Source organism: Homo sapiens, chromosome 9 (genome assembly GCF_000001405.40).
Source record: "Homo sapiens chromosome 9, GRCh38.p14 Primary Assembly".
Lineage (NCBI taxonomy): Eukaryota > Metazoa > Chordata > Mammalia > Primates > Hominidae > Homo > Homo sapiens.
Window position 1 is genome coordinate 129,456,970 of NC_000009.12, and position 25,458 is coordinate 129,482,427.

General features: G+C 55.0%; 1 long non-coding RNA gene across 1 annotated transcript, besides 7 other annotated features; it reads right to left on the bottom strand.

Moving 5' to 3' along the window:
* Window positions 1,717-1,766: an enhancer, noted in NCBI's record as "active region_29112". NCBI's record gives its function as "activates an Ori minimal core promoter by ATAC-STARR-seq in GM12878 lymphoblastoid cells {active_cell/tissue: GM12878}" and the evidence as "EXISTENCE:reporter gene assay evidence [ECO:0000049][PMID:35858748]".
* Window positions 2,143-2,664: an enhancer, noted in NCBI's record as "H3K27ac-H3K4me1 hESC enhancer chr9:132221391-132221912 (GRCh37/hg19 assembly coordinates)". NCBI's record gives its function as "activates a minimal SCP1, AML or CMV promoter by ChIP-STARR-seq in naive H9 embryonic stem cells {active_cell/tissue: H9 hESC(naive)}" and the evidence as "EXISTENCE:reporter gene assay evidence [ECO:0000049][PMID:30033119]".
* Window positions 2,665-3,185: an enhancer, noted in NCBI's record as "H3K27ac-H3K4me1 hESC enhancer chr9:132221913-132222433 (GRCh37/hg19 assembly coordinates)". NCBI's record gives its function as "activates a minimal SCP1, AML or CMV promoter by ChIP-STARR-seq in primed H9 embryonic stem cells {active_cell/tissue: H9 hESC(primed)}" and the evidence as "EXISTENCE:reporter gene assay evidence [ECO:0000049][PMID:30033119]".
* Window positions 3,317-3,940: an enhancer, noted in NCBI's record as "H3K27ac-H3K4me1 hESC enhancer chr9:132222565-132223188 (GRCh37/hg19 assembly coordinates)". NCBI's record gives its function as "activates a minimal SCP1, AML or CMV promoter by ChIP-STARR-seq in primed H9 embryonic stem cells {active_cell/tissue: H9 hESC(primed)}" and the evidence as "EXISTENCE:reporter gene assay evidence [ECO:0000049][PMID:30033119]".
* Window positions 3,580-3,869: a silencer, noted in NCBI's record as "silent region_20378". NCBI's record gives its function as "represses an Ori minimal core promoter by ATAC-STARR-seq in GM12878 lymphoblastoid cells {active_cell/tissue: GM12878}" and the evidence as "EXISTENCE:reporter gene assay evidence [ECO:0000049][PMID:35858748]".
* Window positions 11,771-12,582: an enhancer, noted in NCBI's record as "H3K4me1 hESC enhancer chr9:132231019-132231830 (GRCh37/hg19 assembly coordinates)". NCBI's record gives its function as "activates a minimal SCP1, AML or CMV promoter by ChIP-STARR-seq in naive H9 embryonic stem cells {active_cell/tissue: H9 hESC(naive)}" and the evidence as "EXISTENCE:reporter gene assay evidence [ECO:0000049][PMID:30033119]".
* Window positions 12,583-13,394: an enhancer, noted in NCBI's record as "H3K4me1 hESC enhancer chr9:132231831-132232642 (GRCh37/hg19 assembly coordinates)". NCBI's record gives its function as "activates a minimal SCP1, AML or CMV promoter by ChIP-STARR-seq in naive H9 embryonic stem cells {active_cell/tissue: H9 hESC(naive)}" and the evidence as "EXISTENCE:reporter gene assay evidence [ECO:0000049][PMID:30033119]".
* On the bottom strand, window positions 19,867-22,443 carry LOC124902283 (uncharacterized). The gene is made up of 2 exons (XR_007061814.1): window positions 22,163-22,443; window positions 19,867-20,657 (listed from the first exon to the last, which is right to left on the bottom strand). It is a non-coding gene; the product is annotated as an uncharacterized LOC124902283 (long non-coding RNA).
* Between the last annotated feature and the right edge of the window lie 3,015 nt (window positions 22,444-25,458).

Genomic DNA, 25,458 nt, shown 5'->3' on the forward strand with positions numbered 1-25,458 from the left:
GAATGATGGATGGGTGGGTGGTGTGAGTGGATGCATGTCTGGATGGATGGGTGCATAGATAGGTGAATGGATGGGTGGATATGTGGATGGATGAGTGGATGGATGGATGGATGGATAGATGGGTGAGTGGAGGGTGGATGACTATATGGGTGGGTGGTGAGTGGATGAATGTGTGGATGGGTAGGTATATGAATGGATGGATGGATGGATGAGTAGATGGGTGGATGGATGGATGGATGGGTGAGTGGATGGATGGGTGGATGAATGGATGAGTAGATGGATGGATGGATGAGTGGGAGGGTATATGGATGGACGGATGGATGGATGGATGGATGAGTGGAGGGTGGATGACTATATGGGTGGGTGGTGAGTGGATGAATGTATGGATGAGTGGGTATATGGATGGGTGGATGGATGGATGAGTAGATGGGTGCGTGGATGGATGGATGAGTGGACGGAGGGGTGGATGAATGGATGAGTAGATGGGTGGATGGTTGGATGGATAGATGGATGGATGGATGGATGATGGATGAGTGGATGGATGTGTAGATGGGAAGATGGATTGGTGAGTGAGGTCTTGGATAGTTGGGTGGTGAGTGGATAAGTGAACGGACGGGTGGATAGAAGGGTGGGTGGATGGATGGATCAGCAGATGGATCAGCAGATGAGTGGGTGGAGGGGCAGATACATGGATGGGAGGATGGGCGGATAAATAAGTAGGCAGGTGGAGGTAGCACTGGCATACAGCAAAGAGCACACTGTTTGAGACTCAGAATTCTATTCATAGCAAAATCCGACATGGAAAACATCCACACTCCTGAATCTGGAAAAATCTGGCTGATACAAGTCGGGTTGAGACCATCTCTAAGGTCAAGGAAAAGTGGATTCTGATCCTAGTTCTCATGCTTGGTTCTGTGAGATCTGAGGCAAGTCACCACATCTCCCTAAGCCTCATTTTTTTCTATCTGAAAACGGATATAATAGCAGCATTCACCTTCCAGGATAGCCAGGACATCCTATGATAAAACGCATGTGGGTCTGGCGTGGTGGCTCATGCCTATAATCCCAATACTTTGGGAGGCCATAGCAGGAGGATCACTTGAACCCAAGAGTTTGAGACCAGCCTGGGCAACATAGGAAGACCCTATCTCTACAAAAAATTAAAAACAAAACAAAACAAAACAAAAGTCCCAGCTACTCGGGAGGCTGAGGTGGGAGGGTTGTGTAAACCTGCGAGGTTGAGGCTGCAGTGAGCCGTGATCATGCCACTGCACTCCAGCCTGGGTGACAGAGCCCGACCCTGTTTCAAAACAAAACAAAACAAAAACCACATGTGAGGCCCAGAGCAGGGCTTTGCGGGTGCTCAGGGAGGCAGAGTGGCTCTTGCTATCACCTCGATCCCTTGATCCAAACCACTCCTGCTTGTACAAACAAGTGTCACTTGTCCAAAAGCCTGGGTGCACAAAGGTTTCCCACAAAGGGAAGCTTCCAGAGAGTCAAGAACCCTGGGGAACAGGCAGGCTCACAGCCACGGCTGCTGCCTCCAGTGCGGTCGTTCTGTGGCCTGAGAGCGTCACGTGCTCCTCATCCTGGACCATCAGGGGCTGGCGCACCCATCAACAGCTGGGTGACCCTGGACCAGTGGCTTCACGCCCCTGGTCTTGGTGTCCTCACCTGTGAAACACGGGCCTGAGAGTTACCGAGGAGCTATGCAGTTTGTCTCCATATCACCATCTGGCTTGCCCCTAAGCCCCCTTTCGCCCCCTACCCCCACAGGGGCGAGGTCAGCACCCTCTGCAGCTGGAGCTTTGAATGTGGAAGCCTGGGGGAGGTTCTGGGGCTGACATGGGTGCTGAGCTGGGATGAAAGCACAGAACGCCTGGGGGGAGCCCCTCTCCCTCTCCCAGACTTTGCTCCCAACCCGTCCTGAGCTCCCCTGCTGGAGCCTCGAGGCAGGCCGAACTTTGCAGCCCTGTCTGCCCACGGTCCCTCCTGCTGTGACTCCCTGCAGCCTGCATTTCATAGTCAGTAGTGGGGGTGGGGGATCCTTGCTGTGGGCTGGAGAAGTCATGGGGCCCTCCTCACAGTGGAGCCTTAAGAGATTGCCCCTATAGCCCCTGCCCCCGGGGGACCCCGGATGCTTCGCTGATCCAAGGGGCACCCACAGAGTCCATGGAAGATTAGGCAGCCCCAGTGACGAGGTTGTTGGATCTGTGCCACTCAGACCTGAGCTCGGGAGAGGTGCCCGTGCAGAGGGGGTAGGATGGAGGTGCCCCAGGGGCAGCAACAACAGAAGGTCCCAGCTCCCTCCAGCCCTGGGCTACTTCCTCTCCTTCCCCAACGGCTGCAGACTCTGGTTAAAATGGCACCTCCGCCATCTGTCGTCCCTCCCCCACCCCGTGGGCACGGCTGTGACGGGGGGCTGGCTGGCCTCGTAAACAGGCGGCTGGCGGGTCCCCAGGGCCGGCGGGTGATAGGGCTTGTGCTGGCACCGAGGCCCAGCCAAGAGCTGGAGCCGGAGAGGCCCCAGGGCGGCCGAGCTGGGGGGGGTAGGCAGGATACCAGGTAGCAGGAAGGTTTCCGCGCCTGAGGGGGCCTGGGTGGTGCCCCAGCTACCTGGCCGCTCCGGGACCTGTGGGGCCCCTTCTCCTAAGTATGCCCACCCCATCCCCAGCATCTCCAGTCCCGGCCCTCTCACATTCGCCTCACCGCGCTTCTGCTGCGCTTAGAGAATCTTAAATCAACACTGGGGTGTGAGAAGCTCCATGGAGCCCCCTAACTCCCCCGCCACTGCAGCGTACACCATGCCGTGGGGATCCTTGCTTTACAACCAGGGAAACTGAGGCCAGAGATCAGGGAGGTGGGAAGGCTGGGCGTGGACCAGAACTTTCCTCCACCTGGTTGCCAGCTAGTGGCGGTTGTGGGGTGAGGGGCTGTCCCAGGGGCCAAGCTCGGGGCCCTGACACTGTAAACAAGCCTCCCAGCCTCAGTTTTTCCATCTGGGGAATGGTGGAATCAAGGCGGCTGCGGAGGCGGGAGGGCTGTCCTGTGAGCCAGAGAGCACTGGGGACCTGCCGTTCTCTCACAGTCCCCTCACCTCTCCACGAGGGAGGACTCGGGGGAGCATCCCGGGAGGGGCTAGGGGTGGGCGCCAGGGGTGCCTGGGAGGGAATCTGTCCGGGTCAGTTCCCTGGCTACCCCTCCCTCCCCCTACCACGGTGCTGCCGGCCGCCCCCTCCTCTCTCCCGCCTTCTGACTGCCAGCTCCTCCCCGCAAAGCCCTCAGACCCCAGCTGCAGGGATTTACAGCTTTGACCAGCAGCTCAGCCTCCCCCTGCTCCTCCTCCCTCCTCCCCCGCCTGCATCTCCCCCCTCCAGCCTCCCTCCCTCCTCCTCTCCATCTTTCCCCTCCATTCTCCTCCTCCCTCCTCCTCCCCCCTCTCTCCTCCCCTCCCTTCCTCCCTCCGCCCTCCCGCTCCCTCCCTCCCGCTCTCCGGGGGAAGAAAGGTCACCGTGCAGCTGATTACTCAGAGCTCAGTTGCTGTAGCAACCGGCGGGGGAAGTGGGACAGGCTGGCTTTGAGGACGCGCGAGGTCGGCCGCGGGCGGCTGGAGCCGGCGCGGGCCTCTGTGCGCCGCGAGAGGGAGGCCGCCTGCAGCCCGGCTGCTCGGCCGCCGCGGGCCCGGCTCCGGGGGTTCAGTTTTAATGAAGAATCCCTGCTCCCTTCTCGCGCCCCTCCCGCTTTCTGCCCACCTCCCTGGGGTCTGGAAGGAGAGGGTCGCCCCTCCCCGCTTTGGCTGCTAAACTCTCTGGCTCTCCCCCCGGCCGCTGCCTGGGTTCTGGTGGCTTCCTTCCTCCTCCTTGTCTGTCGGAGCTCAAGGGACAAGCCCTTTCCCTGGCGCGTGCCTGGTGAAACCCTCGCACCCTTCCCCACCCCCACAAGCCTTTGGCATGGCCTGGGAGACTCCGGGCATCTTCAACCCAGCCAGGGACAAGGGTCCGCGGAGGGTCTGGAGCCCCTCGTGGGCCTGGTGCCCACGGAGTGCCCACCCCTGCCCTCCAGGAGCCCCTGGGAAGGCAGCACTCTGTTCAAGGAGGAAGCCAGACCCAGCTACAAGGGAGGGACCCTCGGCTGATGCAAAGAGGCCGGAGCCCGCATCCCAGCACCGCCCCCGCCGGCTGTCTGCTGGTTCCTTCTCCAAGGCCTTCAGAGAGGATCCCTGAAGCTTGGCAGGGACAGACACAGGTTCTGGAGTGGGCTGGGCCTGAGTTCAAATCCCACACTCCAGTGGGACCCTCATCCACCGCTGATAGGAATGAGAAGTGGTTCGACTACTTTTGGAAAACATTTGGCACTTTTAAAAAAGTTGAACATACTCTTACCACGGATCTGACCATGGCACTCCGAGGCTTTTATCTCCAAGAAATGAAATCTCCACCGGCGCAGTGGCTCATGCCTGTAATCCCAGCACTTTGGGAGGCTGAGGCGGGCGGATCTCTTGAACCCAGGGGTCCAAGACCAGTCTAGGCAACATAGTGAGACCCTGTCTTTACAAAATATTTAAAGACTGGACGGGCGCGGTGGCTCATGCCTGTAATCCCAGCACTTTGGGAAGCCGAGACGGGCGGATCACGAGGTCAGGAAATCGAGACCATCCTGGCTAACACGGTGAAACCCCGTCTCTACTAAAAATACAAAAAATTAGCTGGGCATGGTGGTGGGTGCCTGTAGTCCCAGCTACTCTGGAGGCTGAGGCAGGAGAATGGCCTGAACCCGGGAGGTGGAGCTTGCAGTGAACAGAGATCATGCCACCGCACTCCAACCTGGGCGACAGAGCGAGAGTCTAAAAAAAAAAAACATATATGTATATATATATGCCGGGTGTGGTGGCTCACGGCTGTAACCTCAGCACTTTGGGAAGCCAAGGCAGGTGAATCACCTGAGGTCAGGAGTTCAAGACCAGCCTGGCCAACACGGTGAAACCCCATCTCTACAAAAAATACAAAAATTAGCCAGGCATGGTGGTGCATGCCTGTAATCCCAGCTACTTGGGAGGCAGAGACAGGAGAATCGCTTGAATCTGGGAGGCGGAGGTTGCAGTGAACCGAGATCATGCCACTGCACTCCAGCCTGGGCAGCAAGGGCGAAACTCCGTCTCAATTAAAAAAAAAAAAAAAAAGAATTAGCCAGGCATGGTGGTGCACACCTGTAGTCCCAGCTACTCAGGAGGCCGAGGTGAGAGGATCGCTTGAGCCAGGGAGGTTGAGGCCGCAGTGAGCCAAAATTACGCCACTGTACTCCAGCCTGGGCGACAGAGCGAGACCATGTCTCAAAAAAAAAAAAGAAAGAAAAGAAAAGAAAAGAAAAGAAAGAAAAAGAAAACAATGAAACTCACCTCCACACAGAGCCTTGCACATGAGTGTTCACAGCAGCTTTATTTGTAAAAGGCGGAAACTGGAGACAGCACAGTGTTGCTCCGTCCCGCAGGCAAAGGGAGCAACAGGTTGTGGCACATCCGTCCCATGGAAGGCGACTCACCAACAGGAACGACCGTGCACACAGCACCACAGCACCATGACCAGGAGAGGAGCCGGAACAACCGTGCACACAGCACCACAGCACCATGACTGGGAGAGGAGCCGGCAGCCACCAGCAAGGCATGGGGGATTGTGTCGGTGTGAAGTCCCGGAAGATGCGTGCGAGTCGGTAATGACAGAAAGCAGCTCTGTGGTTGCCTGGGGATGCTGGGGTCCAGGAAGGACTACAAATTGGCAATGGGAAACTTTTTCTTTCTTTTCTTTTCTTTTTTTTTTTTTTTAAGACAGGGTCTCACTGTCGCCCATGCTGGAGTGCAGTAGCGCAGTCATAGCTCACTGTGACACCTTCATCTCCTGGCTTCAGGTCTCAGCCTCCCAAGTAGCTGGGATCATAGACACATGCCACCATGCTTGGCTAATTTTTGTATGTATGTATGTATGTATGTATTTATTTATTTATTGTAGAGACAGGGTCTCTCTGTGTTGCCCAGGCTGGTCTCAAACTCCTGGTCTCAGATGATCCTCCTACCTTGGCCTCCCAAAGCACTGAGATTACAGGTGTGAGCCACTGTGCCCAGCCAGCATGAGGAAACTTTTGTTGGGACAGGAGGCAGTGGGGTGGGGTGGGGGTGGGTGTGTTCACCGTCTTGATGGTAGTGATGGTTTTAGGGGTGTGCTGCACCTGTGCCAAAGCTCATCAAGCTGTGCGATTTAAATATGTGCAGGTATCCAGTGTCCATTATGCCTCAATACATTGAAAAAGCAAATTCCTGCTCTACCATGTTGATGTTGGGTGGGTCACCTCATTTCTCACTCATGACAATGGAAGAAGGATGGTACCAGCCTCCTGGGTTGGTTCTGAGAATTCAGTTACACAGTGTTGGTAAATTGTTCGGCTCCATCCTGGGCAAATCATGGGTGCCTGATCCAGGGCAGATAACAGGACTGTAGGACTGCAGGACTGCAAGACAAAGCTGCTTCAGCTCGACCTCCACCACTCCTTCATGGCCTCCCATCAGAAGGGGAGCCCCTGCTCCGTGCCAGGCCTGGCCACTCCCTGGGTTAATAAGGGGGGAACAAGCCCTAACTCCATCCTCGTGGGCTGGCTGGGGTGACAGAGACAAACAGTGACAATTACAACCTAGGGAAGAGCGTTCCAGGCACGTGCAAAGGGCCTGTGCTGGTGGGACTACGGCACATTCCCGAATCCACAGGAAGGGCCTTTGTGGCTGAAGTGGGGGCAGCATGCAGGGCACAGACTGGCCCTGCAGCTTCTTGTGGGACCTGCTCAGGGGTGAGCACGGGGCCTTGTGAGGGTGCCAAGCCCCTGAATGCGGCTTGGAGGAGGCTGTGGCGTTGGCTCTGTGTTGGTGGAAATTCCAGCTTCCCTCTTCACTGCCATTTACTTCCTGTAAGCCTCAGATTCCCTGTCTGGTGAATGGGGGTAAGGACCCCCAATGAGATCTGACACAGAGCTCGGTGTTTGGAGGTCTGGGTTATGTCCACCTCCCTTGCGTCTGTCACACTGTGTTATAGTTTTCAGCCTTTGGGTAACTTTCCCAGCCCAACTGTGGGTTCCCGGGGGCAGCGCCTGCAGCCTCTCCTCTCTGAGCCCCTGCACTTGGCACAGAGGCACAGCCCAGGGACCCAGTGACTATCTCAGGAGGTGAATGGAGTCCCCTGTGTAGCAGGAACAAAGCCCCTGCCTCCACAGGGTTCACTGTCTGGTTGGAAGACAAAGAGATGACTTCTTCCATGGTGGGCAGGTGCGGATCCCAGGAGCTCTCCAGAGGTGTTGAGACCTTCATAACCTCCACCCTCAGCTCCTGGCTGGGGCCTTCTCTCAAGTTTAGAGCCAGCGTGGGCTATTTTCTTGGTTTTCTGAGCTGTAATTATGAACAGCTTTGACCAGCCGGTTTTCATCCTTTGCTCATTAGAGAATGAAGCCTCAGTCGGGCATTGTAGCTCACGCCTGTAATCTCAGCACTTTGGGAGGCCGAGGTGGGAAGATCACCTGAGGCCAGGAGTTCGAAACCAGCCTGGCCAACATGGTGAAACCCTGTTTCTACTTAAAAAAAAAAAAAAAATTAGCCAGGCATGGTGGCACATCCCTGTAATCCCAGCTACTTGGGAGGCTGAGGCAGGAGAATTGCTTGAACCCTGGAAGCAGAGGTTGCAGTGAGCAGAGATCGCACCACCACACTCCAACTGGGCAACAGAGCAAGACTCCATCTCAAAAAAAAAAAAAAGAAAAAGAGAGAATGAAGCCTTGAAGAGGAGGGGATTTTCTGAAGCCCCAGAACCAGCTGCCCTTATTGCCTTACAGACAATCCCATCCCCCACCGGAGCCAGCAAGGTGGGATGGGGTTGAACTAAGATTCCCACAGGGACCAGGCCAGGAGGGGCTTGGCCAGCTCCCACTCCATGCCAGAGAGGGGCATGACTGGGCCAGGTGACATGGCAGGACCAGCCCAGAGCCCACCTTGGGGTCCCATCCCAGCTCATCTCACAGGGCTGGGCCAGGCTGCAGATGCTCTAGATTCGTTTCCTGCAGCTGAGGCTCACACCAGCGCCTCCCAGATTTGTGCCAGGGGAGGAGGATAAAGCGCTAGGTTGAGACCCAGTAGCGTTTGCCAAGAAGGAGGGTTCTGGCCTCGGAGTGGCTGGGGTCTCCATGGCCCCCTTCCAAGCTCCCTTCACCAGCAGAGTGGCCATGCACCCTCCCCTCCCGTCAAAGCCACAGCCCTGACACCACTGAGCCTCTTGGACTCTCTCCAATGACATGGCTGAACCGGCCCACCCACGTGGCCAGCCCCACGCCTGTGATTTCAGAGAGAAGCTTAACAGAGATCTCACCAAATTCCACCCCCTCAGAGGCTGACCCAAATGCCCATGCTCTGTGACCACGGCCATCTCGCTGCCCCTCTCTGAACCTCCTCTTCTGAAAACTGCCTGCCATCACACTAACCTGCCAGGCACTTTTGAGCAGCTGATTTCACAAATCTTAATTATTATTCAGATGTCCGCTTTACAGAATAACAACTGAGGCCGGAGAGTCTAGGTGGAGCGCCCAAAGCCGGCCAGGTGGTGGGCAGTGACGTGGGCAGCCAGAGGCCTGGGCTAGTGCCTGGATTCCCATCCCAGCCGCACTGTGACTCAGCGGCCTGGGGCGAGTCACCCACCCGCAGAGCCTCGGTTTTCTCCTCTGTAAAGTGGGGGTGATAAGGGCACAGAATGAGCCTGAGCAGGTGCAGCTCTCAGCACAGGGCGTGGGGTTCTGTGGGCAGTGCCCTCCAGGCACCTCCTCCCTTGGTGGTGATGGATCAAGATCGTTCATGGAACTGTGTTGGGAACATATAGATGAGGAATTCCATTTGCTATGACAATTATTATTCAATGGCTTCCCGAGTCAGGAATGTAGGTCCTGCCCACGCAGGAGCTGTGTCTCTGGTGTGAGCTCCAGGGCCCCTCCTTCTCTGCCCTCCACATGTAGCCGGGAGGTCTGAGCAGGTCTTGTTTTTCAGCAATCCCCCCGCCCTTCCCTGGAGGGAAGGCGATATCCACAATTCCTTCCTGAGCACCTACTGTGTGCCAGGCATGGAGAGGCACCAGAGGCGAAGACGGGCCCAGTGTGGTCAGGGGTATAATGGGGGCACCAGGGTCTATGGGAGGCTGGAGGCAGCCCCTGACCTTGCCTATTGTTAGGGGGAGGGAGCACAAAAGGCTTCTAGAAGAGCAGGTCTAACCTGAGACCCAAAGCTTGAATAGGAGTCAACCAGGCTGAGGGTGTGGGATGCTCTGGCAAGGGGCACGCAGTGTGCGCAAAGGCCTGGGGCGAGAGGAACAGGACTCATTAGAACACGGCTTGCAGGCATGTTCGTTTCAATATCCCACGGGGTGGGAGGGGTCATGGGGAGCCATGGAAAGTTTTAGGCAGGAAGTAACATATTCAGAAGCACCTTCCAGAAAGACTGCTCTGGCTATCCTTTGGAAGAAGGATTGCAGGGCAGAGCAGAAGCAGGGAGGCCACCAAGGTGGCTGCTGCAGACATCTGGATGATAATGGGGGTCTGGACCAGGGCGGCAAAAGTCGGGGAAGGGAAGTGATTAAAAAGATGTAGGCCAGACGCAGTGGCTCACGCCTATAATCCCAGCATTTTGGGAGGCTGAGGCAGGAGGATTGCTTGAGCCCAGGAGTTCAAGACCAGCCTGGGCAACATAGCAAAACCCTGTCTCTACAAAAAATACAAAAATTAGCCAGGTATGGTGATGTGGTCCTGTAGTCCCAGCTACCTGGGAGGCTGAGATGGGAGGAACGCTTGAGCCCAGGGGGTTGAGGCTGTAGGGACCTGTGATGGTGCCACTGCACTCACTCCAGCCTGGGTGACAGAGTGAAACCCTGTCTCAAAAAAAAAAAAAATAAAAATAAAAAGAAGGTATAGAGGGTAGATCTGACAGGACAAGAAAGTGAGGGTCAAAGAGGGTGGGCCATGGGCTGGATGGGGGGCCATCTCTGAGGCAGCCCATAGAAGAGAAGTGGGTAGGGGGACTCTCCATGGCCCTGAGTCCCCACAGCTCTGCTGGGTTCCTCAGTACAGTCCTGCCCCTAGAACTGCCCTTCTTAGGCTGCAGCGGGGAGCTGCACTGGATGGAAACCCACAGGTCTGTGGCAGGTGGAGGCCTCATGGGTAGACAGCTGGCAGTCCTGGGGCCAAGTCCCAGGACATGGGGTCCCTGCCTGCAGCCAGCAGAGGACAGAAGCCTCGGCCTGGACTTCCCACTTCCCGGATGAGGCATCCCAAGCTCCGCAGAGGAGGAGGGCCTTGCCCTGGGTGGTGGGGGTTTCTCTCAGCCCCCCATTCTTGTTCCTTAGGTTTCCTCGTCTCTGAGACGGGTAGATGCAGATGGACAGACTCAGCCACCCGCCCCAGAGGGCCTGGCAGCTGAGCAAACACTGCACGGGGCCTTGATCGGACACAGGAGAATGAGGGGGTGGGGGGTGGCAGCGGTCAGAGCCCACAGGCCCCAGGAGAGTTTGTAGAAGAGAAGTGGAACAGCAGTCCTGGGGGTGCCCAGCCTATGGCTGGTTCCTCACCCCAACCCCCTGCCCTCCTCACCTCACCCGCTCCTTGGTTCCAAGTGCTGAAAAGTTAAGCTCCCAAAATGTGGGGTCCTCCATGACTCCCTCCCCCCATACTCAGTCATAATCAAGTCCTGCTCCCTCTGCCACCAAATCTGTCCCCCCTCTCCCCCCAGCCACCCCCAAGTACAGCTGGACCATCTCTCCCAGGACACCAGCCTCCCTGGGCGTCCTGCCTCCTTCTTCCCTCCCACCTCCTCAGTGCAGCCCCAGGGAAGCCTAGGGACCCTTTAAAGATGCACTGGGCTTGCGTCAGGCCCCGCGTGTCCAGGCACCGGCCCCACCCAAGGCTCCACCGAGGTCATCTCCCAGCACTGACCTGCTCCTCCTCGCAGCCCCTGGTCTCCTTCTATTTCCCACAGTTCCGCCCCTTCCTCTCCTCCAGCCTTGCACTTGCCACTCCTGCCACTTAGGTGTCCCCAGCTCTTCCCAGGGCTGCCCCTACCTTCAGATCTCAGCTTGGACGTCACCTCTCCCAGGAAGGATCTGGCCCAGGCCGCATGCTCTGCCTTCCCTCCATCATTGCAGTCTTCAAAACGCTTCTGAAACCTGAACTACTTGGGGCTGCCCTACAGGAAGCTCCCTGAGGGCAGGTGCTGGCCTCTCTTGCTCGCCTGTGTGCATTGTTGTCAGGTGCCTGAGTGAAGGAGCACATAAATTGGCAGCCGCTGCCTTAGGGTCGGAGAAGGCTCTGACTTTGCAGCCAGTGGGTGGTCACAGAATGCAACACCAGTGGCACATGTGCAGGTGTGGGTGTGTGTATGTGTGAACATATGTGTGCATGTGTGTGTGCAGTGTGCATCATGTGTGCAGGTGGGGAGTGCATATGTGTGCAAGTGTGCATGTGTGTCTCGTGTAGGTGTGTGCACAGTGTACAACTGTGTGCAAGTGTGTACAGTGTTTCTGCATGTGTGCAGAGTGTACCTGTGTGTGTGCGTGTGGACAGTGTGCACCGGCGTGACACTGTGTCGAATGTGTGTGCACAGTGTACCTGTGTGTGTGCATGTGGACAGTGTGCACCGGCGTGACACTGTGTCTAGTGTGCACCGTGTACCTGTGTGTGTGTGTGTGGACAGTGTGCACCGTGTACCTGTGTGTGTGTGTGGACAGTGTGCACCGGCGTGACACTGTGTCGAATGTGTGTGCACAGTGTACCTGTGTGTGTGCATGTGGACAGTGTGCACCGGCGTGACACTGTGTCTAGTGTGCACAGTGTACCTGTGTGTGCATGTGGACAGTGTGCACAGTGTACCTGTGTGTGTGTGTGTGGACAGTGTGCACCAGCGTGACACTGTGTCAAATGTGTGTGCACAGTGTACCTGTGTGTGTGCATGTGGACAGTGTGCACCGGCGTGACACTGTGTCTAGTGTGCACAGTGTACGTGTGTGTGTGTGTGGACAGTGTGCACCGTGTACCTGTGTGTGTGTGTGTGGACAGTGTGCACCGGCGTGACACTGTGTCGAATGTGTGTGCACAGTGTACCTGTGTGTGTGTGTGTGTGGACAGTGTGCACCGGCATGACACTGTGTCGAATGTATGTGCACACGTGCACACATGTCTAGACTGCCTGAGTGCAGCCATGTGTCCTTTCCTGTCGGTAAGGAAGAGGAACCAGGGGACAGATCCTGGCATGGGGACACAGCCACTGGCTGTTGAGATGTGCCAAGCCCTCCAGCCTGGAGGCCAACGTCCTGGCCCTGGCCCTTCCCTGCTGAGGGACCCTGGCCCTGACCCTTTCTTCTCTGTGCCTCCACGGACCACAGGTTACATGAAACTCCCGTGAGCAGTGCACCTGAGGAAAACTGCAGCTTCCCAGCCGGTCCAGAGACTCGTTCTGCTGATGCGGAGGGGCCCAGGAATGCCAGGAATGGGCATTTAGCAACCCCTCCCCCTTCCCCATGCAATTGTGACGTGCTCCTGGGAGCTGTGACACTTGGTGACCTGGCCCCTCTGAGCCTGTTTTCCCACCCATCAAGTGGGGATAAAAACAGGACTGCCCCAGGAGGTCACTGTTAGGGTCAGTGAGCTGGGGCTCCAGGAGGGCCTGATACACGGTAGGTGCTTCATCCCTGGGCACTGGGGTTGCTCCTGCTGTGCCCAGGGGTGGCGAGGCTGCCAAAGATGCTGGAAGGGTCTGCAACCAGAGTAGGGTGGGCGGGGCTCTGGGGCTTCTGGATGGCAGGGACTCTTTTCCAACACAAGCTGCACCCAGGCGGGGATGCGTAGCTCGGTACCTACAGGGAGGGTGTGAGGTCGCGAGGCCCAGAGCCACTCTCCTCCCCTGAGAACGTGGTCTCAGCCTCGCCGCACTGTGTGTGAAGCACCCCCTGCTCCTCCCAGGCACTGGAGGTCCTCCCACCCCACGGCTTGCTCCTTGGTCTGAGCATCACAAGAGAGAGAAGATGTGGTTTGGGCAGGGACTCCTGCACAGAAGAAGAAAAGAAAGCCAGAGATGTTGCTTCCTCTGACCAAGGTCACACAGCGAGTCCAGGCTGAGGCGAGGCAGGGCTTCTGGTCTCTGCCACTCAGTGGGACCCAAATCCGTGGGGAGATGTGCGGGGAAAGGGGAGCAGTGGAGCTGCATGGTCTGGGGCGGGACAAGTCAGCCACAAGCACCTTGGAGAAAATTGACTTCTCATTCCTTTATTCATTCAACAATTATTCATTGGGAGGCTGAGGCGGGCGGGTCACTGGAGGTCAGAAGCTTGAGACCAGCCTGGCCAATGTGGTGAAACCCCATCTCTACTAAAAATACAAAAATTATCCAGGTGTGGCGGTGTGCACCTGTAGTCCCAGCTACTCAGGAGGCTGAGCAGCATGAGAATCGCTTGAACCCGGGAGGCAGAGATTGCAGTGAGGTGAGATTGCGCCACTGCACTCCAGCCTGGCAACAGAGCGAGACTCCATCTCAAACAAAACAAAACAAAACAAAACAATTGTTCCTAAAGGGCCCCTTGTGAGGCAGTAAAACCCAGGAGGCCGGAAGGCAGACACTAAGGATGGGGTTAGAAATCCAGGCATGGCCAGGACAGGCACTCCCTGCAGGTGGTCCCTGGGTCACAGTTTTGTATTTTGTTTTGTTTTGTTTTTTTGTCTCACTCTGTCTCCCAGGCTGGAGTGCAGTGACGCAATCACAGTTTACGGCAGCCTTGACCTCCCCAGGCTTAAGTGATCTTCCTACCTCAGCCTCCCTAGGAGCTGAGTCTACAGGCATGCGCCACCACCCCCAGCTAATTTTTGTATTTTTCATAGAGATGGGGTTTCGCCATGTTGCCCAGGCTGGTTTTAAACTCCTAGGTGAAAGCAATTGGCCCTTGTCAGCCTCCCAAAATGCTGGGATTACAGGTGTGAGCCACAGTGCCTGGCCTCCCTGGATCACTGGATAAGACACCTAAGTGTTTTTTGTGCCTTAACTTGCTTATCTGTAAAGTGGGGGTAAGAACAGTCCCAGGTGCTGGTGAGGGTTGTGCACATGGCATGGGGCCCGGCACAGAAAAAATGCTGGCTGAAGAGGCTGGTATTGCTGTACTATCAACAACGAGCACACGTTTGCAGGTTTCCACAGTACGAGTCGCAGTGTGTATAGGAAAGGGTATCAGATGCAGAGGAGGGCATTGAGAGAGGAGGGATTGAGTCATCCTAGGGAGGTTGAGGGGCACCTGAGCAGGGTGTTGAGAGCTCTATAGGAGTCCATCACACCAAGAACTAGGAGAAGCTCAGCCACTGGCAATTCCTAAAAGGGCTTGAGGGAGCTGGTGCCAGCCTTGCTGGGACTCCAGGAGCCCTGAAGGGTGGGTGGGGAAGCCATTCTAGGAGTCCCTACTGCTGTCCTCTGAAGGACTTCCTGTGGCAGGTGGGCCTCCTGCTGTCTTCTCTGACTGTTTTCCACCCTCTGAGGGAAAGGGGGTGAACCACCCAGCCACAAGACTGGAACTACTGAGGCAGACCCCAGAAAGTCTGCTACCTTGTGTAGCCCAGCGTCCTGATGCCTGGAGGTCCCCCCATTCAGTCACCAGGGGACAGAACAGTGTGGGGGCTGAAGCCAGGCAAACAGGGTTCAAAACCCAGCTGTGGCATCTTGCAAGCTGTGGGACTCTGGGCAATCTTCATCTCTCCGTGCCTCCCTGTTCTCATCTGTAAAATGGGAAGAATGATTGCACCTGCTTCATAGGACCAGAGTGGGGATTCCATGGATTCATGCCTGACATGAAGAGCTCAGCCCAGCATCCCTAGCACATAGTAAGTGCTCAATAAATGGTAGCCCCTTCCCAGCATGGACTTAACTCCTGTCCTGAGCCGGTTGTGGAGGCCCCATACAAGATAAAGAGAAGAGGCTTGTTGTCTTTGGGGATAAGGCTCTATTCATTTTCTGATCAACAATGTGTATTCTTACTGTTGAATCAACAGTATTAAATAAAAAAGAAAAAAATCAAAATGACAATGTGTATTCCATCTCCCGTCAAACTGGGCCCCCTATACTTCTGGCCTCCTCACCCTGCCTCTCTGCTGGGCCCAGAGCCCCCTTCCTGCATCCAGGAAGCTCACTCTAGCAGCGTCCTGGCCACACCGCATCTTCTCACAGTTTTTGAGCTTGGAAGGCCTTAGGGAATATGGGGTCCAGTCCCTCCGCAAGTACCCACGTATGGAACTGGGGCTCAAGAGTAAAGACACTCGCCAGAGGCTGGGACTTGAATTCCAGTGCCCCTGCCCAGGTCCTTTAGATCGCTACTGCTGTGGGAATTTTGAGAGGAGCCCCTTGGCATGGGATGAGCCACTGTTCCTTGGGCTGGAGTTCCATGAGGGCAGGGTCCATGGCTGTCTTGCTTACTTTGTGGCCCCTGGGCCCAGCATAGAGCCTGGAACCTGTGAATGAATAAGTGAATGAGCGAATGAACAAATGTGGTCAGAATCCATCTGCCTCCCAGAGCAGGATTCCAAGAGAAGCCCACTTTGGGCACAGCCCCTGTAGGGTCACCAGCCCCAGCCCAGTAGACGGGGTTGCCAACGGCTCAGAGGCTTCCAAGAGTCTTCCAACAAAAGGATCAAAGGAAGCAGATGACAGGAGGGCAGGAAATGGCTGCAGGGAGGGGTGGGGGTGCCGAGCCCCCTGCCCAGGCCAGGATGAAAGAGGTTCAGGAAAAGGACACAGATGGACCAGCCGATGGGGGGATGGGGGTGACAGGATGCGGGCAGAGGGCTCAGCTACTTCCCTTTGCACAGAGGATAAACTGATGGCTTCCCCTCAGTCCAGGACCCTCCTATATGCCTGCAACCACCAGCACCTAGTCTTGGGCCCGGCCCCTGGGGGGCACTCGGAAAATGTGGATTCACTGTGTGCATGCATGCATGAATGAATGACTCAGTGGCTCATGCTGAATCCCAGCACTTTGGGAGGATTGCCTGAGGCCAGGATTTCAAGGCCAGGCTGGGCAACATAGCAAGACCCCTGCCTCTACAAAACATTTAAAAAAAAATATTAGCTTGGCTGGGCACAGAGGCTCACGCCTGTAATCCCAGCATTTTCAGAGGCCAAGGCGCATGGATCACCTGAGGTCAGGAGTTCGAGACTAGCCTGACCTACATGGTGAAACCCCATCTCTACTAAATACAAAAAAGTAGCTGGGTATTGTGGCGAATGCCTGTAATCCCAGCTACTTGGGAGGCTGAGGCAGGAGAATTGCTTGAACCTGAGAGGCGGAGGTTGCAGTGAGCCGGATCACACCATTGCACTCCAGCCTGGGCGACAGAGTGAAACTCTGTCTCAAAAAAGAAAGAAAGAAAGAAAAAGGAGGAAGGGAGGAAGGAAAGAACTTTTATCAGCCATTCCTGGCCTTTCCAGTAGTCAGGCAGTGTGGGTCAGTCCAGTGGATTTTGACATGAAAGGGCAGAGCAAACTCCTGCTGTAGTTTCAGGGAGAACAATAACAGTAACAATTGCCCAAATAAGACTCTTACTACAGCCAGTGGCTATTGAACAACTGCTAGATGCCAGGTGCTCAAAATATCTGTGTGTCATAGCCCCATTATCTCAATGACTCCTTGCCATTCTCTGTGAGGGCCACGCTAGCCCCATTTTACAGATGAGGCAACTGAGGCTAAGAGAAGAAGGATGCTTCTCTAGGTCACCCAGAAAGTAAATGACGGAGGTGGAGAGTCAAATTCATCTAGCTCTGGGTAAATGAATAAATGGCTAAGCGAATGAAGGACCCATTCTGCAGCATTCACCGTGAATCCTCACCACACCACGCCGCCCTTCACCGGGCACGAGTTCTATGGCAACGAATGAAAGAATCACAGTCCCTGCTGTCACGAGATTCCTTGCCTGGAGGGCAGCACTCCAGCCAAATAATGACTTCATCATGATTTTGGAAAGTGTTGGGAAGGAGAAAGCCAGAGTGCATAGGGCGTGCAGGGGACCTGCCCAGTCTTAGGGGCTCAGAAAAGGCCTAGAGTGTAAACTGCCAGACGGGAGGGCGTTGCCTGCTGGGAGATGTGCGTGGGAGGCAGAAAGTCAAGGTCTGTGGCATGGATTAGAAAAACAATAGTCATAGTCGTGATTGGAGCAGGCACTGTCCTTTGAGCCATTTCTCCCCACAAGTACCTTGCACGGGTTATTTTATAAATCTTTACAATAAGATGGAGACGTGGTTCCCCATATCATTCCCACTATAACGGAGACTCACACAGCTGCTAAGAGGAAGAGCCACGGTCTAGGTCTATCTGATCTGGGGTCTCAGCTCCTGATCCTGAACCCAGTGTCTACAGAGCAGAGAGACCCTCCCTCTCAGCTCCTGGGTGAGCTGGCCCTGCTGGGATACTGTGTGCACTGGAGGTCATGCTTCCCCTTCCTGTCACCCACCAGTTCTCCTTGGGCTGTGGGAGCTTCAGGTGCAGAGGGGAAAATTTAGAGAGGGGACATTTCTGAGCCCAAATTGGCTGGCACTGCCTTAGGAAGGGGTGGAACACAGACGCCTGCCTGAGCCTCCAGGAAGAACCCCACCACTCCCCACTGGAGGCAGATGTTGCCATGGTCCCTGGAGGCAGCCGTGGGGTGAGGGTGCAAGGCCCCCAATGTCACTCTTGTCTCTTCCTGGGCTACAAGCCCTGAAGACAAGGCTGCTTTCCTGTTCTTTCTTTGAAAGGAGGGCAGAACTCTGAGGTCTTCGCTACACTGGGCTGTGAGGCCCCGAGAGGACGGGCTGGGAGTTGCTGTTTCTTGGTGCTTCTCCTCATCACCTAGAGGGTGTGGGGCGTGGGGTGGAGACCCCCAAAAAAGCAGCCAGAGCAGTTCCAGGGCTTGGCTTGCAGCCTCCCTTGGGAAAGTGCAGGCACTCACCTGCAACATCAACACCAGCTCCTGTTCCCTGAGCACCCTCCACGCACCTGGCCTGTGCTAGGTGCTTCCCGAAAGATCTCCATGAATCCTGTGGGACACATGCTGTGCTGCTGGCTGTTGCCCAGTACCCATTTTGCCACCTCCCCTTTGGTAACAGAATGGCCCTCTCCCAGGTTGTAATGAGGCACATGACTGCCAGGCTAAGTATTACCTTTCCCAGCCTCCCTTGCAGCTAGGTGTGGTCATATGATCAGCTCTGGCCAATGAAACACAAGCAATGAGCTATGCACCTTCCTGCCAGCCAGTAAAAGAAATTGGTAGCTTCCACCCCTTTGGTTCCCCAAACACACACTCACAGAGAATGGGGAGGGAGAGGGGCAGCCATCTTCAAGCTTGTGGACAGAAGCAATCCTCCAGGGATGAGAGAGATAGAAGGAGCCTGGGCCCTGGACCGGCTCCCAGGGCAGCCTCCCATCCCCTAGACTGAAAGGAGGAAAACCTCTGAAATGAGAGAAATCAGCTCCTGTCTCCTGTAGCCACTGTTACTCAGGTTCTGCTACAGCAGCTGGGCCAGCATCCTAACCCAGACCCCGAGCCTTCGAGAAGGAAGACTATGGTTAGCTGGGAAGTGGTAAAGCCAAGACTTGAACCCAACCCTGAGAGGGCTCGGTCCAGAACCTACATTCAAAGCCTCGGGGCTGAGCTGCTGCACATAGCAGGTGCTGTACGCAGGATTTTCAGGTGGACCATGAGCAAATGAGTAAATGGCCCTATGTGCTTTCCGAGGGAGGATCTAACCTGGAAGAACTGATTGTTTCTGGGCCCTAAATGTCACCTGGTTTCCCTGGTAGGAGCTTACTTCTAGCTTCTATGCCCAGGATTCAAAGCTAACCACGGGGCTGGGCAAGGTGGCTCATGCCTGTAGTCCGAGCACTTTGGGAGGCCAAGCCAGATTGCTTGAGTTCAAGACCAGCCTGAGCAACATACTTGAGACCCTGTCTTTTTTTTTTGAGACAGAGTTTCACTCTTGTTGCCCAGGGTGGAGTGCAGAGGTGCGATCTCGGCTGCAACCTCAGCCTCCAGGGTTCAAGCGATTATCCTGCCTCAGCCTCTCAAGTAGCTGGGATTACAGGCGCCCGCCACCATGCCCAGCTAATTTTTGTATTTTTAGTAGAGACGGGGTTTCACCATGTTGGTCAGGCTGGCTCGAACTCCTGACGTCAGGTGATCCACCCGCCTCAGCCTCTCAAAGTGCTGGGATTACAGGCATGAACCACCACGCCCGGCTGAGACCGTCTTCACAAAAAATTTTTTTCAGTTAACTAGGTAATTTATTTATTTATTTATTTATTTTATTTTTTGTTTTGGAGACAGGGTCCCGCTCTGTCACCCAGGCTGGAGTGCAGTGGGGCAATCTCGACCCACTGCAACCTCTGCCTCCCAAGTTCAAGCAATTCTTGTGTCTCAGCCTCTCTAGCAGCTGAGATTACAGGCATGTGCCACCATGCCCAGCTAATTTTTGTATTTTCAGTAGAGACGGGGTTGGCCAGGCTGGTCTTGAACTCCTGACCTCAAGTGATCCACCCGCCTCAGCCTCCCAAAGTGTTGGGATTACAGGTGTGAGCCACTGTGCCCGGCCATAGCCAGGTAATTTAATAGCAAGGTGGCACACACCTATAGTCCCACCTACTCAGGAGGCTGAGTGGAGGATTGCTTGAGCCCAGGATTTGAGCCTGCAGAGAGCCATGATTGCACCACTGCACTGCAGCCTGGGTAACAGAGTGAGACCCTGCTCTCAAAAAATAAAAATTAAAAAATTAAAAAATAAATAATAAAAACCAAAGATAGCCATGGTGACAATGTCTTGTGGTTTATAAAATGCTGATTCATGTCCACTGTCACCTTTGATCTTAACCTCTTCCCATGAGTCAGCAGGGGAGGCCCTGTTCTCATCCCCGTTTTATAGGAGAGAAAATTGCGGGTCACGTTGCCTGGTGCACAGTGACCGTTCCGCACACGGTGGGTCTTCTTGTTCCTTTGAATAGTGCTTTCTTAGTATTATGCTACTACTAACAATTTTTAAAAAAAAATTGGAGGAATGAGATGTGGGAACGCAGAAGAAGTCCACGTGGAGGACTCAGGAGAGCAGCAGCTGCTGGACTTGGCGTTGACCTTGAGGTATCTCTTCCCTTCTCCGATGCCTGTTTTCCTGGTATAGAATGAGGAAGTTGAACAAGATGGTCCTCTCTCCCCATCCCCATTCTGGGATCTTCTGCTTTGTGTCCCTGGGGTTGGGAGGGGCCAGGGTCCCCGGCCATCGGCCAGCGAGGTCAGAAGCAGCTCCTAGCTGGTGGGCAGTGTGCCTCTCCTGGGCCCTCTGCCGGCATCTCCCAGCTCCCTTCCTGAGCCTGCCTCTGAGATGAGACCTGGCATAAAGATGGGGACAGCATCAAGGACCCGGACAGCATCAAGGACCCTCAGTCTTTGCTGAGGATGAGCTGCAGAGACAGGTGATAAGCGACCTCAGGCCCTCCACAGGCTGCGGTTTCCAGAGGCACTGGGGGATGTGAGGTGGAAGCAGAGGCCTGCCTTCCTGTGCCCTGGGGCTTGGCATGTCAGCCCTCTGAGCCTCAGTGTCCTCATCTCTAAAACAAGAGTGATAGCACAAATAAACACCCTTCTCATAGGACTGCCATGTCAATTACACACATTTATACACATAAGCACTTAGAATATAGCCTTTCTTTCCTTTTTCCTCTCCCTCTCCTTTCCTTCCTTTCTTTGTTGTTTTTGTTTTTGTTGTTGTTGTTTTTGAGACAGCTTCTGGCTCTGTCACCCAGGCTGGAGTGCAGTGGCATGATCTCAGCTCACTGAAACCTCCGCGTCTCACGTTCAAGCGATTCTCATGCCTCATCCTCTCGAATAGCTGAGATTATAGGCACGTGCCACCACACTCGGCTAATTTTTATATTTTTAGTAGAGATGGGGTTTCACCATGTTGACCAGGCTGGTCTCAAACTCCTGACCTCAAGTGATCCACCCACCTCGGCCTCCCAAAGTGCTGGAATGACAGGCGTGAGCCACCATGCCTGGACTAGAGTACATCCTTTCTCAGTAAGCATGCAGTTAATGCTACAGAGAGTACAGTTATTGATTACCAGTTATTAGAAATATTATTATTAATAACATTATGAAAGGTTACCAGACATTTACAAATGACTGAAAAAGAAAGAAGCGTATTTGAATTTCAAGAAACAATAGTGCGCCGGGCACGGTGGCTCAGGTCTGCAATTCCAACACTTAGGGAGGCTGAGTCAGGAGGATCGCTTGTGTTCAAGACCTGCCTGGGTAACATGGCAAGACCCCATGAGGGGTCATGAGAGTGAGGCCAGGTGTGGTGGTTCACACCTGTAATCCCGGCACTTTGGGAGGCCAAGGTGGAAGGAAGATTTGAGCCCAAGAGTTTGAGACCAGCCTGGGCAACATGGCAAAACCCTGTCTCTACAAAAAATACAAAAATTAGCCAGTCATGATGGAGTGCACCTGTAGTCTCACCACGGCTACTCAGGAGGCTGAGGTGGGAGGATTGCTTGAGCCTGGGTGGTTGAGGCTGCAGTGAGCTGTGACCACACAACTGCACTCCAGCCTGGGCGACAGAGCAAGACCCTGTCGGAAGAAAGAAAAGAAAAGGAAAGAGAGACAGGGAGGGAGTGGGGGAGGAAGGGAGAGAGGGAAGGAGGGAAGGAGAGGGTGATGAGAGAGAGAAGGAAGGAAAGAAGGAAGGAAGAAAGGAAGGGAGGGGAGAGAGAGAAACAGTAGTTTTGTTGGAAGACCAAGGGCTAGGAGCCTGCTTCTGTCTCCCTGGGGGTCTGTGGTTCCCAGTCTGGCCATCATAACCTGCCCCTTCCCTTCCTTAATTTATCCCCTCAGTCCCACATGGGCTGGTCAGTAATGTTAGATATGGAAATTCCCAGAGTTTCAAAAGACCTCAAAGTGTCTTCAGCCACTTCTTCTCCTGAGGCATGGCTCTGTACTCCTAGACACACCACTCTCTATCCCTGCCTGTCCTTGACTACCTCCCCAGGTGGGGCACTCACTACCTACACAGCTGCCCTGACTATTGGATAGTTCATCTTGAGGCAAAACCTACCTCCCTTGGTAGCCTTCCGTGGTTCTGCCTTCTGGGTCCTCCCAGAACAAGTCCACACCCTCTGCCTCAGGCAGGTCCTCCAGCCTCAGAAGCAGTGGCCACTAAATCAATTTCTCTCCACCTGAAACCTCCCCTGTGCCTTGCCCATCCTGGAGCAGGAAAGAGGCTACGTTTGCACAGAGCACCGGACCCGGGGAAGCGTGATAACACAGCCCTACAGAGAAGCCCAGGGAGCCACGCTGGCCTGCAGCACTGGCCACCAGCTGTGGAGCTTTCTTGCTGCCTAGCACAGAACTGCAGGCAGAGAAAAAGGCAAAGATTTGCCTGAAGCAAATACATCAAATCCTTCCGCAAACACACATTCCCCTGAACACCGACTCCAAAGATACGGAGGAGAAGAGGCCTACTTGATTAGATTTCTTTGGGGCCTGTCGCCTAATTTTGTTGCGCGTCTTAGCATGAGGTCCCTGTAGTGACTCTGTAGCGTGTTTAATTTCTCAAAGCCGCTCACAGGCTGGTGTGTAAACTCTCATCTCCGGATGTTACTGAAGGACCCTTGCGAGTTACAGCCCTCGGATCAGTGGCCTTGTGGGCAGTGGAAGGAAGGAGTTAAGGGTGTGAGTTCAGCTCCCATCCCAGCCTCCTCATTCCCCAGCACCGTATCCCTTCCACAAAGCCACTTTGCTTCTCCAGGCCTCAGATTCCATCTGTAAAATGGGGACAATAATTCTCCCTACTTCTCAGAGCTTTTGCGAGTATCCTATGAGGTCAATTCTCTAAGGCCTCAGACCCAGTCCCGGGCAGGCAGTAGGTCTTTGATACATGAAATAATTTTTGTTGCTGTTTTTGAGTCTTGCTCTGTCACCCAGGCTGGGGTGCAGTGGCACGACCTTGGCTCACTGCAACCTCCACCTCCCGGGTTCAAGCGATTCTCATGCCTCAGCCTCCTGAGTAGCTGGGATTACAGGCGCCCACCACCACACCCAGCTAATTTTTGTGTTTTTAGTAGAGACGGGGTTTTGCCATGTTGGCCAGACTAGTCTTGAACTCCTGACCTCAAGTGACACACCCACCTCAGCCTCCCAAAGTGCTGGAATTACAGGCATGACCCACTGTGCCTGGCCTGATAAGTGAAATAATTTGATCTCAGCCAGAAGAGCCTGGGGAACTGGTGAAATCGGTCGGATTTAGGGGAGATAACTCCCCCTGGTGAGAAGGCCTTGGTCTAGACACAACCATTTGGTCCTTTCTGGCCGTAGGTCCGTGGTCTCGAACTTTACTATGGTTAAGATGCACCCAAAAGAGCTTGTAAAATGCCAAGTCCCCGGCCCTGTGCACAGAGAGTCTGATTCAGTAGAATCTGAGGGGGGCCCGGGAATCCGCAGTTTAACAACATCCTGTTCCACGAGGTTGGGAATAGATGTTACTGCTACAGTCACTCTGTCGGCTGTATGTCTGTACTGCGTCAAGAGCGGGGAATACTGAGCCAAATAAAACAGATCCAGCCCCGAACACCAGGGAGCCCACCGGGGAACAGGGGTGCGCTCCCTCCAGGTGGACGGGGGAGCTGGAGTTCTGGAGTGAGCAGGTTACCATTGCTGGAATCAAAAGTTTAGAAGAGACCTACTTACTAGATCTGTGAGTGTTGTCACAAGACAGTATCTCTGAGGCTTGAGCCTTGGGACATGGAGGCCTCTGGAGGGAGGGACACAGACTGTTCTGGAAGCAAAGGCTGTTCTGACTGACCCTGCCTGGGCTGGGCACTGGTGGGGACAGGTGAGATGTGGCATGGGGTAGATGATATGGAAGGTGGCATTCCTACTGAGGCAGTTAGTTCAGGGTGCTGCCTGTGGGGTGGGACCTGGGTTTGATCCCAGCTTGTCCTTTCTACCTGTTGTGACCTTGGGCCAGCCTAAGCTTTGTTTCCACCTCTGCAAAGGGATGACAGTTGTGTTGTCCATCTACAGAGGTGAGTTACCGAGGGGCTAATGAAGCTTTAGCTCCTGGGACTGTCATTTACCAAGGCCCTGAGCTTAACCGCCTATTCATAACTTTGCACTATTCTTCTTCAAGTGGGTCCCCAGGATTGTAAAACCTTCAGGCCCCATAAAACCTGGATCTGCCCCATTCACCTAACAGAGTTATTGCAAGTTTTGGTGAAAGAAGACAGGCAAACCCCTAGGCAATCCTGGGTCGCAAACGGAAGCCTCCTTCACTTCTGAGTCTTGGAAGTAGAACGCCTTGACACTCCAGATAAGGGGGACACTTGTCCAGGGAGGGCCAGCTGAGCCCCCACCCCTGTTCTCACTGCCCCGTAGCCCCCATGGCCTCAGGGCTCCAATCTCCCTAGCCCAGACTAGAAGCAGGTTGGAAGGAGAACCCAGGTGGGGATGTGAAGGGCAGAGTCGGGGGAGGCAGCGGAGGTGGGGAGTAAAAGGACTAGATTGAGCCCCTCTGGCTGCCATATGCACGACCTTCTGCAGGGCCAGGCTGGTGAGAAGCCAGCTAGGGGTGAGCGTCCTGAGCAGTGGCCTTGGGGGTGGTGTGGTTTTAATAACGACCTTCAAATGTGTGGGCCCCGGGGAGAGGCAGATTATATGAGACCCAAAGTCGGGGCTTCGAGATGGGGAATACTGGGGGACTGGGCATGTTCCCCTCTATGTAAAGTTTCCCAAGGACAGGACCTCCCTTCGACCGCGCCCCCACAAACTCTCTGCCCAAGCGCCCCATCTCCCAAGTCCTGAAGACCACTGGCAGATGAGGAAGTGGAGGCTCCGAGAGGGCAAGCCGTTGCCTAAGGCCACACAGCAGGGGAGTATAGGATACAAATCCGGATTTGGACCCAGCTGTACCTCGAAATTCCTTCCTGCTCCTAACCCCTCCCTAATACCGCCCTCTGCTGTGGGCGCAGTGGCACGTAGTGGGCTCGCAGTAAGGATGGGGATGAAGGAAGGAAGGAAGGGAAGAAATGCCTAGGCCAGGCTCTTCCCACGCCCCGGTCTCCGCGGCCCGCTCTTTCCAGCTCCGTCGCCCGCCCCCCTCTCCCCTCCCAGTCTAATTGGGAGGTCTCCGAGCCGTCTCTCCCGCTTCCTCAGGTTCCCCCGCGCTCCTCCCGGACCCCACCCCGAGGCAGCTTTCTCACAACGGGATCCTCCCCGGGCGGCGTGGGGACGCCTCCCGACCCCGAGGCCCGGCAGGAGAGCCGCCACCGCGGCCGGGTGGTCTCCGCGTCGCATGGCCCCTGCCGGCCCCCCCGCCCATGGCAGCTACATAATTAATTCGCCCATAAATAACTG